Source organism: Homo sapiens, chromosome 2 (assembly GCF_000001405.40).
Source record: "Homo sapiens chromosome 2, GRCh38.p14 Primary Assembly".
Classification (NCBI taxonomy): Eukaryota; Metazoa; Chordata; class Mammalia; order Primates; family Hominidae; genus Homo; species Homo sapiens.
This window is the reverse complement of record NC_000002.12, coordinates 7,350,178-7,366,510: the sequence shown is the minus strand read 5'-3', so window position 1 is coordinate 7,366,510 and position 16,333 is coordinate 7,350,178. Positions and strand designations below refer to the sequence as shown.

Here is a 16,333-nt window from a genome sequence, read left to right as displayed (position 1 = left end):
AGGCATGGCACATAGCTACTTAATGATGAAGCAAAGACTAGGATTCAGATATTTTCATTTCAATTCCTACTCTTTTGCAATGGCTGATTTTCTCCTTATTCTCTACCAATTACTATATTAGGACAGTAACCACTAATAATGATATCGTCCTCATATTAATAAATTATTAACTTTTATCAGATAAGAGTCCAAGATGGATTTGTGCTACTCATTATGTTCTATATGATAACTGATATTTTAATTTGCTTTTGCAATCATATCTTGCCACTGTAACTAGTAACTTTAGACAACCCAAAACTGTGGCTTTCATCTCATTGTCCTTGATGCTGATTCCCATGGGCACACATTTCCTGCCCCATAGTATTTATCATGCCACGGCACATTTGCCATGAGTCTCTTCCTTTGAAATTATCTTTTTCCTCCATTTTTAAATCACATTACCACATTGATTATGTCAATATTTAAATTCACTTGTGTTGTTCAATATCACCAACCATATTAAAATGACAGATTAAAGAGGGATTGCCAGAATCAGCCTAATGTATAATATCAGTATATAAAACTGAAAATATTTGTAGAATAGGATTTCCTGCCCTATGTCACTTTTCTTTTACTAATCATGTCCTGTGGGGCCATGTTGCCACACCTTCTAGGAATGTGCCAATATTCTTCAACTCCTATAACCTGGAAGAAGATCCTCTTCTAGAATTTAGGTTACACACAGACATCAATCTCATATTTTTGGTTATTTTTATTTTTTTAATTTTTATTTATTTATTCTTAGAGACAGGGTCTCAGTCTGTCAATCAGGCTAGAGTACAGTGTTACCATCATAGATCACTGCAGCCTCAAACTCTTGGGCTCAAGTGGTCCTCCCATCTCAGCCTCCTGAGTAACTGGGACTATAGACACATGTTGCCATGCCCAGCTTGGGTATTTTTAGATTTTTTTTTTAAACTTTTTGGTTTCACTTCTCTCTCTCTCTCTCTTCTTTTTTTTTTTTTTTTTTTTTGAGACGGAGTCTTGCTCTGTTGCCCAGGCTGGAGTGCCGGGGCACAGTCTCGGCTCACTGCAATCTCCGCCTCCCGGGTTCATGCAATTCTCCTGCCTCAGCCTCCTGAGTAGCTGGGATTACAGGCATGTGCCACAATGCCTGGCTTATTTTTTAGTAGAGACGGGGTTTCACCTTGTTGGTCAGTCTGGTCTCAAACTCCTGACCTCGTGATCCGCCTGCCTCGGCCTTCCAAAGTACTGGGATTACAGGCGTTAGCCACTGCGCTCGGCCTCACTTCTCTCATCTTAAATGTCATGAGTGCAAAATCAGATAAACCTTTTTTGACTTTCTGCCTGTAGTATTTTTTAAATCTATTTTCCATTTATGATCTTCACATATTGATGAGAGCCTGCATAAAATTGTTACCATCCATTGTTTGAAATAATATTAGGTTGGCGCAAAAGCGACTTTTTAATGGCAAAAACCGCAATTACTTTTGCACTAACCTGTAGTGGAAGATAGCTTTTCCATACAGAAATGTGGACTGTTTTATTGTATGATTCTTTAATCTTACTAGAAGGAAACATTACCATCATAAAGGCCTCATTAGTTGCAAAATATCTGAATAAGAACACTGTTAGTATTTAGGATACCCTGACTTTGGATTCATAAAAACTCAGAGGTTATGTTTACTCAAATTTACCTTTATGCTACTAGTAGTATATGCAATAAAACTTAATGAAAGTTTAGGAAGAATTAAATACATAGTTGACCAGAAAGGGAAAAAGATCAAAGCCTGTTTCTAAATCTCTCATTGTTAAGAACTCCTCTATCTGTATTCAAGCTTTCTGAGATCCATATGGAGTATCCAGATAGAAATAATTTATTTCCACATCTCTGCTTTCTATCTTAATTTGCTTGATCATAACACCCACATTTACCATCAGCCATTTATTATCACAAAGTTATAACCATCCGGAGACTCTCCCAAACACAGAGGCCAAATCTTTCAAGGACAAATCAGATCCTGAGATGACCAGGCCCTCCATTTTCTGTTTCAGTGAGCCTGACGTGCACGTCACTCACAGGAGATAATCTCAGGCTTGCTATTTGAAGGCTGCATGACTTTAGCCAAGTTTCTCAAATTATGTATGTCAGTTTCCTCAAGTCTGAAATGGGCATAATGCTGGTATCACTCGCCTACTGCTATTGTAAAGATTAAATAACAAAATTCATTGAAAGGATGAAATAGAGTGTATTAGCCTGTTTTCACACTGCTATGAAGATATTACCCAAGACTGGGTAATTTATAAACAAAGGAGGTTTAATTGACTCACAGTTCTGCATGGCTGGGGTGCGGCTCATGATATTCACAATCATGGTAGAAGGGGAAGCAGGCATCTTCTTCACAAGGTGGCAGTAGAGACAGCATGTGAAGGAGGAACTGTCAAACACTTAGAAAGCCATCAGGTATCATAAGAACTCACTCACTATCATAAGAACAACAGGGGGAAACTGTCCCTATGAACCAATCACCTCCCTTCCTTGACATGCGGGGATTACAGGTCCCTTCCTGGATGCTTGGGGATTACAATTCGAGATGAGATTTGGGTGGGGACACAGAGCCAAACCATACCATAAAGAGTGCATGGTAAATAACAATGTTTAACCAACATCCATTGAATAAGTGAAGTATGAATAAAAGAATGACATACTTTTATACATAACCTTTTTTTCTTCTGACAATGTTCTCATGTTCCTAGGAGGCTGTGTAGTCCTACTCCATGGCATATTAGGCTACTGATATACAAAGCAATAGCAGCAAGAATTTATAGAATGCCTCATTGGTTAGAAATTCTTGTTTAATCCTCATTCTTCATAAACAGATAGAGGTTAAGAGGAATTTCATTTCATCCTTTATGAACTTGTCACGATACTTTATCGAGAAGTCTGTGACTGGAAAATGGAAACTCAGGGTATTCCCAATATATGTGTGTGCGTGTGTGTGTGTGTGTGTGTATTTTTAAATTGTATGTAAGGCTGAGAGAGCTTTTTTAAATAATTCTTTTCATAACTAAACTTCTTGCACTATAGATTCTATTCTTTATATTTGGGTAATTTAAAATCCAATTATCACTCGTATACATCAAAATAACACATTTATTTATCACAGATCTGCCATTTAACACCTCCATGTTATGCTTGTGTCTTCCCATGAACACTTTCCAAAACACAGTTGACAGCCCTGGGTTTTTTTTCTGTTTTATTGTGGATATGGTATTCACATTGAGAAATAAGTGTGTTCAATGGAGTGTCAGTTTTCTGTACCGTGTAGCTTCATCTACATGGCTGAGAATATAAAAGGTCCTTCATAATATCTTCACTGCTGTTATTATTCTCCTACCAGTCATTTACACTATTCATTACCAAATGATGGAACAGTTAGTTATGATAAATTGACTGATGGTGTTTAACTGTTCTTTGTTCATTAATACCAAAGAAAATTTAAAAAGTATAAAACAGGAAAGGGGGGTGGGGAAGGAAGAGATCTTTCTCCAGGACCATCGCCACAAGCCAATGAAGTACTTTTCCACAAAACCAGAAGACTTCATGCAATGAGATCCTCCTACTGAAGCCCATTGAGCTGAGTAAGCAGTAGAGAGGCAGCAGCCTCTGCCTTCAAAGGGCTTACAAACATGTTGACTCACTTTTACCATTTGAATGTGTTGTTTTTATAACATCAATTTCTACCAGAAATGGTGTAGACTCTTATAACAAAAGACAGTAACTCTGAAACATTTTTTTCTGTGTTGGTTGGAGACCATTCCATCATTTGGAGTTAGTGAATTTCAGATCAAATCTAGGTTCTTAGGAAGTCTGGGGTTGAGTATTCAAGCTCAGACATGTTCTTATGTCATTTGAGGATTCAGGAAACCATAGGCCATAACCAGAGAGGCAGGCTTGGTTTGGATCCACTACTGGCACTGCTTTGCAAAAATTAGTACTTTACTCATAATAGTAAAAATAATCTTCTCTTGTTTAGCTCTTAAATCCCCAATATACTTTCACAACTAGTTTCCTCTTTGTTTTTTTCTAAAGATGAAGGCTTGCAGTGTGATCAGATTCCAAGCAAGATATATGACTCTGAGAATTCAGTAACGTTCACCTTTAAAATATGGGTGTCCTCATAGCCAAAACAGCTAACTGATGGTAAAGATGAGACTTGTAAAAAGATCTAAGTCAAAATTACTGTAAATAAATACATCTCATACTCCCAAAGAGCTGTCATGTCTAAATGGAGAATGAAATATATAGTAAAAAGAGAGGACTGTTGTAAAGAAAGATGAGCTCTAAGGTATGCTGTTAATTTTCTTTCCCAAATGACCTCTACCTTTGCATGCATCCTTAAAGAAAATCATTGCCTAGACCCAGTCCTAAGACCTTCTTTTGAATAACTCTGCTTCTCATGGGACTAACTGCTAATATCTAGAGGTAAGTGGTGGGATTTCACAGATGTATCTCAGATTCTGCACCTTTTGAGATCATTCTGACACTGAGGCCTCCAGGTTCAACCTGGATCCAAAAGTAAGCCTAGAGTTTACCCTTGGCTCTGTGGTTTCACAGCTCTTTCATTTGAAGCAAGTTGTGGAAGTTCTTTGACCCTCTGGTTTTTTTATCTGCCAAATGGAGATAGAGGTGTGTCCCATGCCTACGGCATAACTTTGAGATCACTATTTACCACATTCAGGGACCCTTTTGTCTTTACTCCTGTGGATTCTAAAAGAATGAGGTTGCCAGAAGCCTGACATATATAAGCAGGAGGTAAGTGTATGTGTGAGATGCAATGTTTATTTATGCACTCTATATACATATGTATATACAGACATAAACATATTCTTCAACATTAACTTTTCAAAATATTCTCTAAAATTCCTTCCCTTTCTGCTGTTTCATCTTTTAGTTCTGTCAGGAGCTTGGTCCCTTTACAATTTATAAATCATCCACATTAATCTGTCTTCCACCTCCTTTCCTCAGTTCGTTTCCTCAGCCACAATAAGCTCTGAATGTATGCCTATACACATGGCATCCCGAATTATAACCTCCCAAGTCTCCGGATTGTTTTCAAAGGGCTAAAAATTGCCATACTCATAAAAACAAAACAAAACAAAAATGGCAACCTTGTTTGCCTTGCCAGTCTGTCAGAGCTTGAAAAACAAACTTCATCCCAGAAAGACAAACACACACACAGCAAACAAGAAGAAGGAGCTGTCGACAGAGCCGAGAGAATCTCCAGGCCAGGGAACAATAGTAGAGAACACAGCCAGATGGCAAAGGAAAGACAATGTGTTGCAAACACAGAGGAAAAGAAGAAAAAGAGCCTAACCCCAGCAGTGGAAATGAAAGGAGATGGAAGGAGAACTTTCCCTTTGCGCAAACTTTCCTTCAAATGCCCAGACATCCCAAGGCCAACAAAGCTCACATATTTGAAGCTATGTCTGACTTCAGCCCACTCATCCCTTCATCATGCATCATGCCAGTGGAAAAGCATTAGTGACCCAGGGTTAAATGGAAGCCTATTTACCCAGCCTAACTCTCTCTGGTATGTGATGTCAGGTATATAAATGTACACATCCAAGAAGATTGAAGTCCCAATTTTGCAAATCATTGTTGGAATGAAACAAAGCCAATCAACTGCATATTTCCTGGAAGGTTTTATTTTACAACCTCTGATGAGATACAAAATAAAAAGGCGACTTTGGCGGGTATCTATAATAACAGTTTATATTAATATTCAACAGAAACCCTTTCTTCCAAGGAATCTAAAGTACTTGTGATGAGATTGGATTCTGCCCCAGCTCTAGCTGCAGCAGGAATAAATGGCAGTGCTTGGCAGCCATAGCACAAACCTCAGCTATGTCTCTGGAGGATGTGAACACTAAATTGCACAAATTACAAATTAGTCTTTGTTCACATACACTCTGGTGTAAGTTTAGTAGCTGCTGGCCCCAGAGCCATCAGGGTAGATCCCACTAGTTGACGGGTTAACAGTCGGTCATCATTCAAATAAGTTCTCATGTGGCCACTGAACTTAGCAGTGCTATAAGACACCCCTTATTGAAGATTCTCTCCATAACATGTGTGCACTTGCCTCTTACCCTATGGTCATGCAGTTCTCCATGCAGTTATCTGAAATTAATAGGATTGGGTCCATTGTTTACACAGAGAAATAAAGACTCAGGGAGGTCAGATCCCTTGTCCTGTGACATAGCCAGTAGGCGGTAGAGTCAGCATTTGTGCCCAGTTCTTTCTAGGGCCAAGTCCATGTTTCATTTCTCCACTGCTCTGAACCATGATTTGCTTTAAAGTGTGCTCTCTTTTTAACTTCACTGTGCCAAGGGAATGGGACCCAGAATTGTTAAAGCTCCTAGTTTCCTAAAGGTGTATACTTGAGAGCATTCTAGTCCCCAAACTGCTCACAACCCCCACATCTGTACTCCATGAATGCTGTGGATCCCATGAGTGCTACTATGCCTTACTGGGTGGAGCCTATTGCATGACCTGTATCTTCGGATTCTGTGCATTGGCTTTGAAGACTACCTGGAGAATGCAGTGTCTACAGAGATTGTCCAGATGCAAAACAAACAAACAAACAAAAACCACAATCATGAGTCTCTTCTTAATTCCCAAATTCAGCAAATATTTACTGAGAGCTGATTACATGCTAGGCCATGGAGGATACCAAGTTAACAAAGTCCCTCACTTTTCTCAGGTATATAACAAAGGGATGCCAGAAACCAGTCATCATGAATAATATTTGAATGCAATACAATTAATCCGAATTAACCCAAAAATCAACATGAAGAAGCATCAAAATCTCAGGCTCCAATTTGACTCACCACAGCTCTGTGCTAGCAATAGGAATGCAGAGTCCAACCTCGCCCTAAAGTAAAAGGTTTTTAGTCATCTGATAGTGGTATAAGACACAAATAACATCATATTCCTCTCTTTTAAAGTGGGAAATACAGTCTCTACTTCAAAAGAAAAGTACTAGAAAGTTTTTGGACTGGATTGAGTTTAATAGATGAACTAAATTTAATTTTCCTGCTGTTGAGCTAGAAGGAAGCTTGGAATGAGTGCAGTTTTAAAAAATATAGAGGGAGTCTCATGTTTTCACAAAAGCCGGTGGCGACTATTAATCATAGCAGCTACACATAGCATGGCAGATTAGAGCCGCTGTAAACTTACTGCCTCTTTTCTCAAATGAGCCCTTACTGTGGTTGAAGTATCCTACTGCACATCCAAAGTCAGCTGACTCCTGCAGCCTGGGTGACAGGGGTCACTGGTTCACTCAAATAAAAAGCACGTATCATCACTTACTTAGACCCAGGCTCTCTCCTAGTCACGGCAACACAACCAGCACAGAAAACAAGGGCAGGGCTGTGGTCGCCAGTGGGGGCAGCACCAGGGGAAGAAGAGCCACAAGGGCAGATGTGGAAATGAGAACAAAGACCAGGACCTCTTTCCTTATCGCTCACGCCAGCCTTGATGAGAAGGAAAGTAAACTTGCTCAAGCCTATTCTGGAAGGACAGTGATTTTCACTCAGCAAAGACCAGACATGTCAAAATGAACCCATGGCATCCACAAATGCCATTACTCCGCCACCAAAAAAAAAAAAAAAAAAAAAAAAAACAACAACAACAAAACATGTGAAAGAGGGATGTCATCCCTACTCAGTCTTATAGGTGAGAAAAACACTATCTGAGGCTAATCCAAATATCCCAGTCTTTGTGAGCAAACTTTAATTATTGCCTCTGCCCTGCCTCTGAGCCCAAGGCTCTCAGTCCACAGGCAGATGGAAGGCAGAAAAGAGGCACATCTCTCTCAACTACCTGCCCACTGTTGCAGGCTCAGAAACATCAAGATTCTCCATATTTCCCAGGAAATGCCAATTTGTGATTGGTTCCATACAGAAAAAGGAAGATTACCTTTTTTCTGAAAGTACGTTTTTATTTTGTTTAACTTATATATTAATAACTGCAATTCTCAAAGTGTTAAATGCAGAGATACTATATGACACAGCAAATCAACACCTAGGTATATGTCTAGAAATCATAAAAACATATGTTCATGAAAACTTTTATGTAAGTGTTCGTCAATGAATGACTAAATAAAATGTGGCATATCCATACAATAGAACACTATTTAGTAATAAAAAATGATTTCTACATGATACAATATGGGTGAACCTTGACAATGTTTTGTTAAGTGAAAGAAGCCAGACATAAAATGTTACTTATTATATAAGTATATTTAGATAACACTTCCAGAATAAGCCCCTAGTGGTTGGGGGTGGTGGCAAGTGACTGAGGATGGGTACCGGATTTTTTTTGGTTGATGAAAATGTTCTGGAATTATATTGTGGTGATGATTGTACAACCTTAGGAATAAATTATAAAATAAAACTGTAGACTGCAAATGAGTGAATTGTATGGTATGCCAGTGATATCTCAGTAGAGACAGTAAAAACAAACGAACAAACAAAACCCGCAAAATTGGACTAGGCCAAACCTGGCCATCAAACTCTAGAAATCTGGCCAAAAGTAGAGGCAGCTTCCAGGGGAGCAGAGGGGAAACGTTGAGGCAAAAGAGGAGAGAGTAAAGGTTCAAGCCCTGGAGGATTTGATACAAATGACTTCCTATCCTATTCAAGGAGAGGAAAAGGCAAAGAATGCCCTCAAGATAGGAAGGAATGGCTGAGGGCTAAGGCTATGTGAAGGCCCTGGACAGTCCCCTGCTCCTCCACTGAGCAGAGAGGCCAGGCCCAGGGCGGTGAGATCAGAGACTAGTGTGCACCCCGGGATGCTTTCAGATGATCACAGGCCACGGGGAGGAGGCAGCCCTTGAGCCTGGTGGTCTCAGTTACCTGAAGCACTAGGAAGGCGATGACTCCAGGAGGTGCAGGGGGAGCCCTAGTTCTGGGCATCTGCAGCTGAGAGTGTGCAAAGTGGCCCCAGGCTGTGTTTTTGAGCCATTCTGCTCCATGGTTTACCGGAGAACAGGAGTGTGAGAATCTAGGAACGTGCTGGACCCCAGCCTGGACCCATCATTACGGTCTGTGACTGTGTCTGTGGCCCCGTTATGTTCCTTGTTGGTGTCACCTGGGGGAACACCTGCTTCCCATGGACTCCAGCCAGCCTGCCCTGAGTACAAGTCACAAGGTCAGTGCTCAGTTAATCATCGGCTACCCTGGAAGCTTGGAGCAGGAAAACAAAGTCCCTGAACAGAGTTGGTCCTGTCAGCTTGGCCTCTTTGAGAGTCACAAACAGAACTCCTTTCTTCTCTGCTCCCAGGGCCACCTGCTGAACACACACAGGGAGGCCACCTGGCAGGGAGTTCAGTCCACCTGGCGGCGGACAAGGTCAGTGAGGAAAAGTCAGCACAGCCTGCCTGGAACCTGAGCCTGCTGCCTGCGCTCCAGCCACCCTGAGTCAAAGACTGAGATGTGAGCATGTTGCCCAACATTCTCCAGACCACACAGAGGACACACTGTCCCTCAGCGGAGGGAGTCCCCTCACATTCTACAGGAGGCCTCCTGCAGACTCGGGCAGGTGGAGGTAGGGCCAACAGACCCGAGGCAGTGAATCCTCACCTCAGCACGGAGAGCCACCTCCATGCACACAAGCCAGATGCACAGCTTTAAAGAGGCCACCTGGGGCAGGCACACTTGAGTCAAGAAGTTAAGGGGTATTGCCAATTTCTTCTATTTCCATTTCTCTCAGCACTTGAAGTTTTCTAAGGTGCTTTCATCCTGTGTTCTTGACCTGCCTCCGTCACTCTTAGGTAAGCCCTGTGTTCAGGCCGTCTGGAACCTTCCTGCTCTCCTTGGCCCCTGCCTCTGTGCATGGGGCTTCCTGCACGAGCACAGGAGCCCACGGACCTTCTTGCCACGTGTGGGCCCCGGCCATTCTTAGGAACTGCATTCAACTCCTGGAGTCCCAATTAGGATACATATAGAAAAATTAGAGCCAATCCGATAAAAGCAATAGAAACTATTAGAGTAATTAGTGTTTCATTTTGAGGGTGTAGTAGAGACAGGTTTCCTACAAATTAAATTAGCTTCATCTGTAATATTAAAATATCATGGGGTGTCTGAATCTCTTTCTATAGACCCAGCATGGGTGAAGTACCTGTTTAACTCCAGAACTCAGCATTTTAATTCCTAGAACTGAAGGAAGGGCGGACAGAAACACACCTGATTTAATTAAAAATGTATAGCTCTTGGCATTGCTCACAGGCTGTGTCTAAGTTCTCAGAACTCATGATTTCTGCAGCATCCAGGGGTCGGGAGCAGCAGGCAGGCCCCAAAGGCCGCCGCATGCTCCCCCAGCAATCTGCGACACAGCTTCCTGATAATCCATCCACGGTGACTGCTGAAATGACATTTGCAACCTCATCTGCAGAACCTGCTCGAAGCCAGCTTTGCTCTGCTGATTTAGAGCCACTCTGCAGGCCTGGGCTCCATTCCACAGTACGTGTGCAGGGATCCCTGCGGGGCCCACCTGCCCCACACAGAGCCCGCCCTCTCTGGACCTCCCTACATCTTCAGGCTCAGGCACAAGGCACCCCTGCCCCTCGGACCACAAGAGTCTAGGGTTTGCTGCTTTGGTCTCTGTCCAGAAAAACAGAAGAAACAGAGCTTTTGTTTTCTGTTTCAGCATGGAAAAGAAAGTCTGTTGGAAAGTCACTCTGTTGTCTTTTTACTTCCCTATAATCCTCCCTCATAACCCCACTTTTAGGCGTCACCCATGAAGGAGAGTGGGATGGGGGAGCCCTCACACTTGGCACATTCTTGCCTAAAGTTTTCTATTGTGAATCATTTCCATTTTACTAAAGGCCTTACATTTGAAACAGAAAAACTAGGATAAAATGCTTCCCCTCCACTTTCCTTTACTGTAAGTTCCATCCTTGAAACAACCAACAGAAATTAGACTCTGCTGCCTAATTATTGCCTGCAGAGAAAAGTGGGAAATATATAACAGAAGAAAAATAAACAAGGAAAAACATCAATAAATATTTCAAAATCATAGCCTGGTTAGTATTTTATAATATAGGGCTGTTCACGAAACACTGATATGTTTATTCTCATTTAATTTTTTCAATGACTCTTGTGGAGTGAACGCTATAATATCGTTTACAAATAAGGATGCAGAGTGCTTAACAATTATTCATCCCCTCCACTGATAGTGGATGCCAGATACACTTCAAAAGGATCCGTGAGTTGTGAATTTGTAGCTAAACTGGAATGTAAGAAGCTTGAGGACAGGGGCTGTGACTCACATTTTTATTTTTCACATTATCTAGATGTTATGGGCTGAGTCATGCACCATAGCATCTTGAGCATGGTGGTCTCGGTTACCTGAAGCACCAGGGAGTAGGTGACTCCAGGAGTTGCAGCAGGAGCCTCAGGTTCCCAATGTACTAGGAGTTAGAACTTCAAAAACAATATGTTGAAGTTCTAACTCCTAGTACCTTAGAAATGTGACTGTATTTGAGAAAAGACCTTTAAAGAGGTAATTGAGGTAAAAATGAGGTCATATGGGTGTGACCCTATTGTTCTTTTTTTTTTCTTTTCTCTTGAGACAGAGTTCGGAGTTTCACTCTTGTCACCCAGGCTGGAGTGTAATGGCGTGATCTCGGTTCACTGCAACCTCCACCTCTCAGGTTCAAGCGATTCTCCTGCCTCACCCTCCCAAGTAGCTGGAATTACAGGCATGTGCCACCATGCCCAACTAATTTTGTATATATATATTTTTTTTTAGTAGAAGCGAGGTTTCTCCATGTTGGTCAGGCTGGTCTCAAACTCCCAGCATCAGGTGATCCACCCCCGCCTTGGCCTCCCAAAGTACTGGGATTACAGGCATGAGCCACCATGCCCGGCCTGGTGTTCTTATAAAAAGAGTATACTAGGGCACAGACACACATGAAGGGATGACCATGTGAGGACAAACCAAGAAGATGGGCATTATACAAGCCAAGGAGTGAAGCTTCAGGAGAAGCCAAACCAGCCAATGCCCTGATCTTGGACTTCCAGCCTCCAGAACTGTGAGAAAATAAATTTCTGTTTTTTAATACCCCTGGTCTGTGGTATTTTGTTATGGTAGCCTACCAAACTAATATACTGGCTCAGTGTCATGGTTAATAGATCTCTTTTATATTAAATTATGGAATTTTAGAGAAGTAGGCAGTGCTTTAATTCCTTTGAAATGTGCCGTTCAAATTTCTTCATTCTATAAGTATCTAACACTTCTGACTCTTCTGCTGGGCTCTGTGATGACAGAGATGGAATTCGTCCTTTGCCGCCCTTAAGAAGGACAGCAGTCTAGAACAGAAGCTGTGACTAGGTCCTCACATGCCAGTGTGGCTAGAGTGAGGGTTAGGGTTAGGGCAGAGCAATGAGGCTATTATGTGGTCAGCCGAAGGAAGAACGGCCAGTTGGTCTGGACATGGTGAAAAGATTCACAGAACATGGCTGTGTGTTGCTTCCTAAAAAAATGAGGAGGCATTGTCAGTGTTAAAGGAATTTCATGTGGAAACCCTGAAAAGAGTTCTACTGGCTACCACAAATAAATAGATAAATAAATTCCTTAGCAAGGCTTAAAAGACCCTCAATGGTTGAGCCTCTGCCTTCTAAGCCACCCATTTCTTGCTACTGATCCTCACACTTGGTATCCCACCACACGGCCCCCTTGGACTGCTTGCAATTTGTCAGACACGCTAAGATTTCCCATGCCTTGGCCTTTTCTCGGGATACTTCTTCTGCAGATAAAGTCATCCCTCTAATGAGTAGCTCCTCATTTCTCTGAGTCTTTACTTAAAGTTACCTCTTCTATGGCATCTTCCCAGACATCCCCAAATGGAATGAACCACTCCCTCGTTGGCCCACATTCTAGTTTGTGCAGACAATTATTGTCAGCCCATGTGACACATTGTTTTCTGTGATTTATTTGCGTATATGACTCACTTTATTCGATTATAAGTATTTTAATAATGGCAACCATGACTTACTTAGGTTGGTATCACCAGTATTCTTAGTAGATGCTCAACACATGTGTTGGCTAAATGGATATGCAAAGACACTAGCGTTGCAAAGAACACTGTGCGTAAAAAGGCAGGCACTTGTTCCGTGGTAGGCATGTAGAGTGTTCGCAGTCAAGGCTTGAAAACCAGATTGGCCTTTTATGTAGAGTTGCTAAACTTAGCAACTAAAAATAAAGATGCTGAGGTGGGTGGATCACCTGAGGTCAGGAGTTTGAGACCAGCCTGGCCAACATGGTGAAACCCCATCTCTAATAAAAATACAAAAATTAGCCAGGTGTGGTGGCAGTCACCTGTAATCCCAGCTACTCAGGAGGCTGAGGCAGGAGAATCACTTGAACCCAGGAGGCGGAAGTTGCAGACCGCACCATTGCACTCCAGACTGGGTGACAGAGTGAGACTCCATCTCAAAAAAAAAAGCCCAGTTAAAGTTGAGTTTCAGAGAAGCTGCAATATATGATGTATATATGATGCCCCATGCAATATTTGGGGCATATTAATATTCTTAAATGTTTATTTTTTTGTCTGAAATTGACATTTAACTGAGAAGCTGGAGTGGCTAAGTGTGTGTAATAGAGATGGGCACCTTATCATCAGTAGATCCGTAGTTTGGGTCATTCCTTTCTCTTTCGCAAATGGTAGGTTAGGAAAGACATGGCTGCCTCCCCTTTCTATGTTCTTAATTCGGTAGTCCACACTAGAGTCAAGTGAAGTAGAATTAATCTTGGAGACTAAGTAAGATTTTGCACAATGGAATCATAAATGCTGTACATGGAGAAAAGAGAGAAAAGAGTGGAGAAGACTTAAATTAAAAAAAAAGAAAAAAAAACCCAGCCAATATGGTCTTGGCCTTCATGAGAGATTCACACAGCTTTTGGGATATATTTCCAAAGCTGAAACTTGAAGGGAAATCACATGGATATTATGCCACCCTTCCCAGAATTTTAAGCAGAGGCCAAATGAATGTTTCCCCAGAATCCCCGATCAATTGCAACTACTGACATTCACGTCGGTCTCGTGGCACCTGCTTCCACCAAATGCTAGTGTTTAACATTTCTCACAGTGTTTCTAAACTCGAATTTGCTCACTGCTACCAGCTAGGAACAGATGCACCAGAGAGAACCTATTTGAAAGTGGGTGGCTTATTATGAACAACTTAGGGTCTATAAAAAAATCTCAACAAGAGCTGGAAGAAAAAAAATAAAAACTGCCAGAAGCTCTAAAAAATCTCTTCATAAGAAAACAGAATAGTTATCTGGAAATTCTGCAAATATGTAAAGGAACCTTGTTTTAGCAATGTTTTGCACTTTGATATAAATTCCTAAAAGTTACCTCTAACTTGAACACAGAATTGAGTTACTGCCCTGCCAGAAGGATTTCTTCTTCAGGCCACAGAAATGATCTTGTCCAAAACCCGTGAACAGAGTTGCCATATTGGGTGAACATAGACATCCTTTGCTTGCTTCCAATTTCCTAATGGCATGGCAGTATTACAGCCACTGCTACTGATTTTGTAAAATTGTTTCCCACAGTGATTCTGTATGATGAAGCTTCCAGTCTGTGTTGTCCAATGGGGCAGCCCCTAGACACAAGGGACTACTGAGCACTGAAATGTGGCTAGTTTGAATTGAGAAGTGCTGTCCATGTAAAATCCAAACCAGGATTTGAAGACATAATTGTAAAGAAACATATAAAACATCACTAATAATTTTTATATTGGCAACATGTTTAAATTTCAGATGTTTGCTTAAATAAAATACATGATTACAGTTAATTTTACATTTTTTAAGTGACTCCAATAGACTTAAAATCATACTTTTGGCTCGCCCTGTGTGATTCCCATTAAACTCCATGGCATATTTTAATCAAAGACCAGTAATCATTTAACTCTTGGAAAAAAATGCTGTGATATTCTAAATCTTCCACCTTTGATATGACTCCAGGTGTCGAAATACCTCAATGTCACAGTGATGAGAGCAGATGTGAGAAGGATTTTTGTGAGACTCTGATCAGCAAATTTATCAGACAACAAGTAAAGAAGGAATTGAGTAGACTGTTTAAATCATGCAATCATGCACTAGGCCTGGCCTTGTACTTTGATTTGTTTTATCCCAGCACAAGCTCCTTAAACATTCTCATAAACTTTATTGAACAACTGGTGGTTTTTTATGCCATGATTTTCACGTCAGTGAGGCTAGAAGACAAGGTTTCAACCTGTAATATAGCAAATTGTTAACAGTCTCTGGTCAATTTTCTGAGCCTTCTCAGAGTTCCCAGAACTGGGCACTAGTTACAGGGGAAATGGGGTCAGACTGGTGACTGACAAGGGCTTGGTGAGGAAACTGGCAGGTGTAATACAAGGTGCCAGAGGAGCAGAGAAGGAGGAGTTCCTAGCCCAGCTTGAGTGATGGTAGAGAGGACACCCGAGGACTTGAGGACTGATGTCACCTACAAGGATCTTACAGTCTCCATTGGTAAATAATTGGTAGATGTCATGTTCTATGGGTATGTTATCAGTAGCAAGCTAGATGGTATCCGGAAGCCAAAGGCATGGTGCCTCACTGGGTCTATAGCAACAAGCAGCTCAGGGTGTGGAGCACTGGAGAGGAAAGGACTCTTAAGAATCATATCATGCAATATGAAAATGCCAGTCGTTTGCCAAGCTATGCTGAAGGTGATCCTTGCCCACCTCATCATCCCCATCATTATCCTCAAACTTCAATAAAAATATGCCTTGGGTGGAGACTTTTTGGCAGCATTTTGTAGGGATTACAAAAAAAGGTCAACAGGACATTATGGTTCATCTTTGCCACATTTAGGAAGACAGCAGAGAACAGCTGAAAACCAAGACACAGGGTTGTCAATAATTAGGTGAAAGTAGCAAATCAGAAATGGAAGTACTAGGAGAAACATAAACTTTATGAGAATACAGGATGACATGGAGCTGGAGATTTGAGATAAGCCTCCTACCATTTATGAAAATAATGTCAATTTCACATGAAGCTTTAAAACAAAACTTGAGACAAAATAGAAACGTTGGGTGCAATGAAATCGCCACCTCAAGCTATGCCGGGGCCGCCCTGGGTGAGCTCTGTCTGTAGATAACTGATGTGCTCTGTGATTAAGAGCTGGGAAACACCGGATGGTGGTCTTCAGGTCTCTCTTTGTGCTGCAGTTCTGTTGGTGTTTCCAGGCAGGGCCTCTCCCCTTCTTGGGGCAAAAGGAACAAATGCCCTTGTCCC

At 41.5% G+C, this 16,333-nt stretch overlaps 1 annotated feature.

Annotated features, from left to right (window-relative positions):
• Nucleotides 9,229–10,033: an enhancer, noted in NCBI's record as "H3K4me1 hESC enhancer chr2:7496609-7497413 (GRCh37/hg19 assembly coordinates)". NCBI's record gives its function as "activates a minimal SCP1, AML or CMV promoter by ChIP-STARR-seq in primed H9 embryonic stem cells {active_cell/tissue: H9 hESC(primed)}" and the evidence as "EXISTENCE:reporter gene assay evidence [ECO:0000049][PMID:30033119]".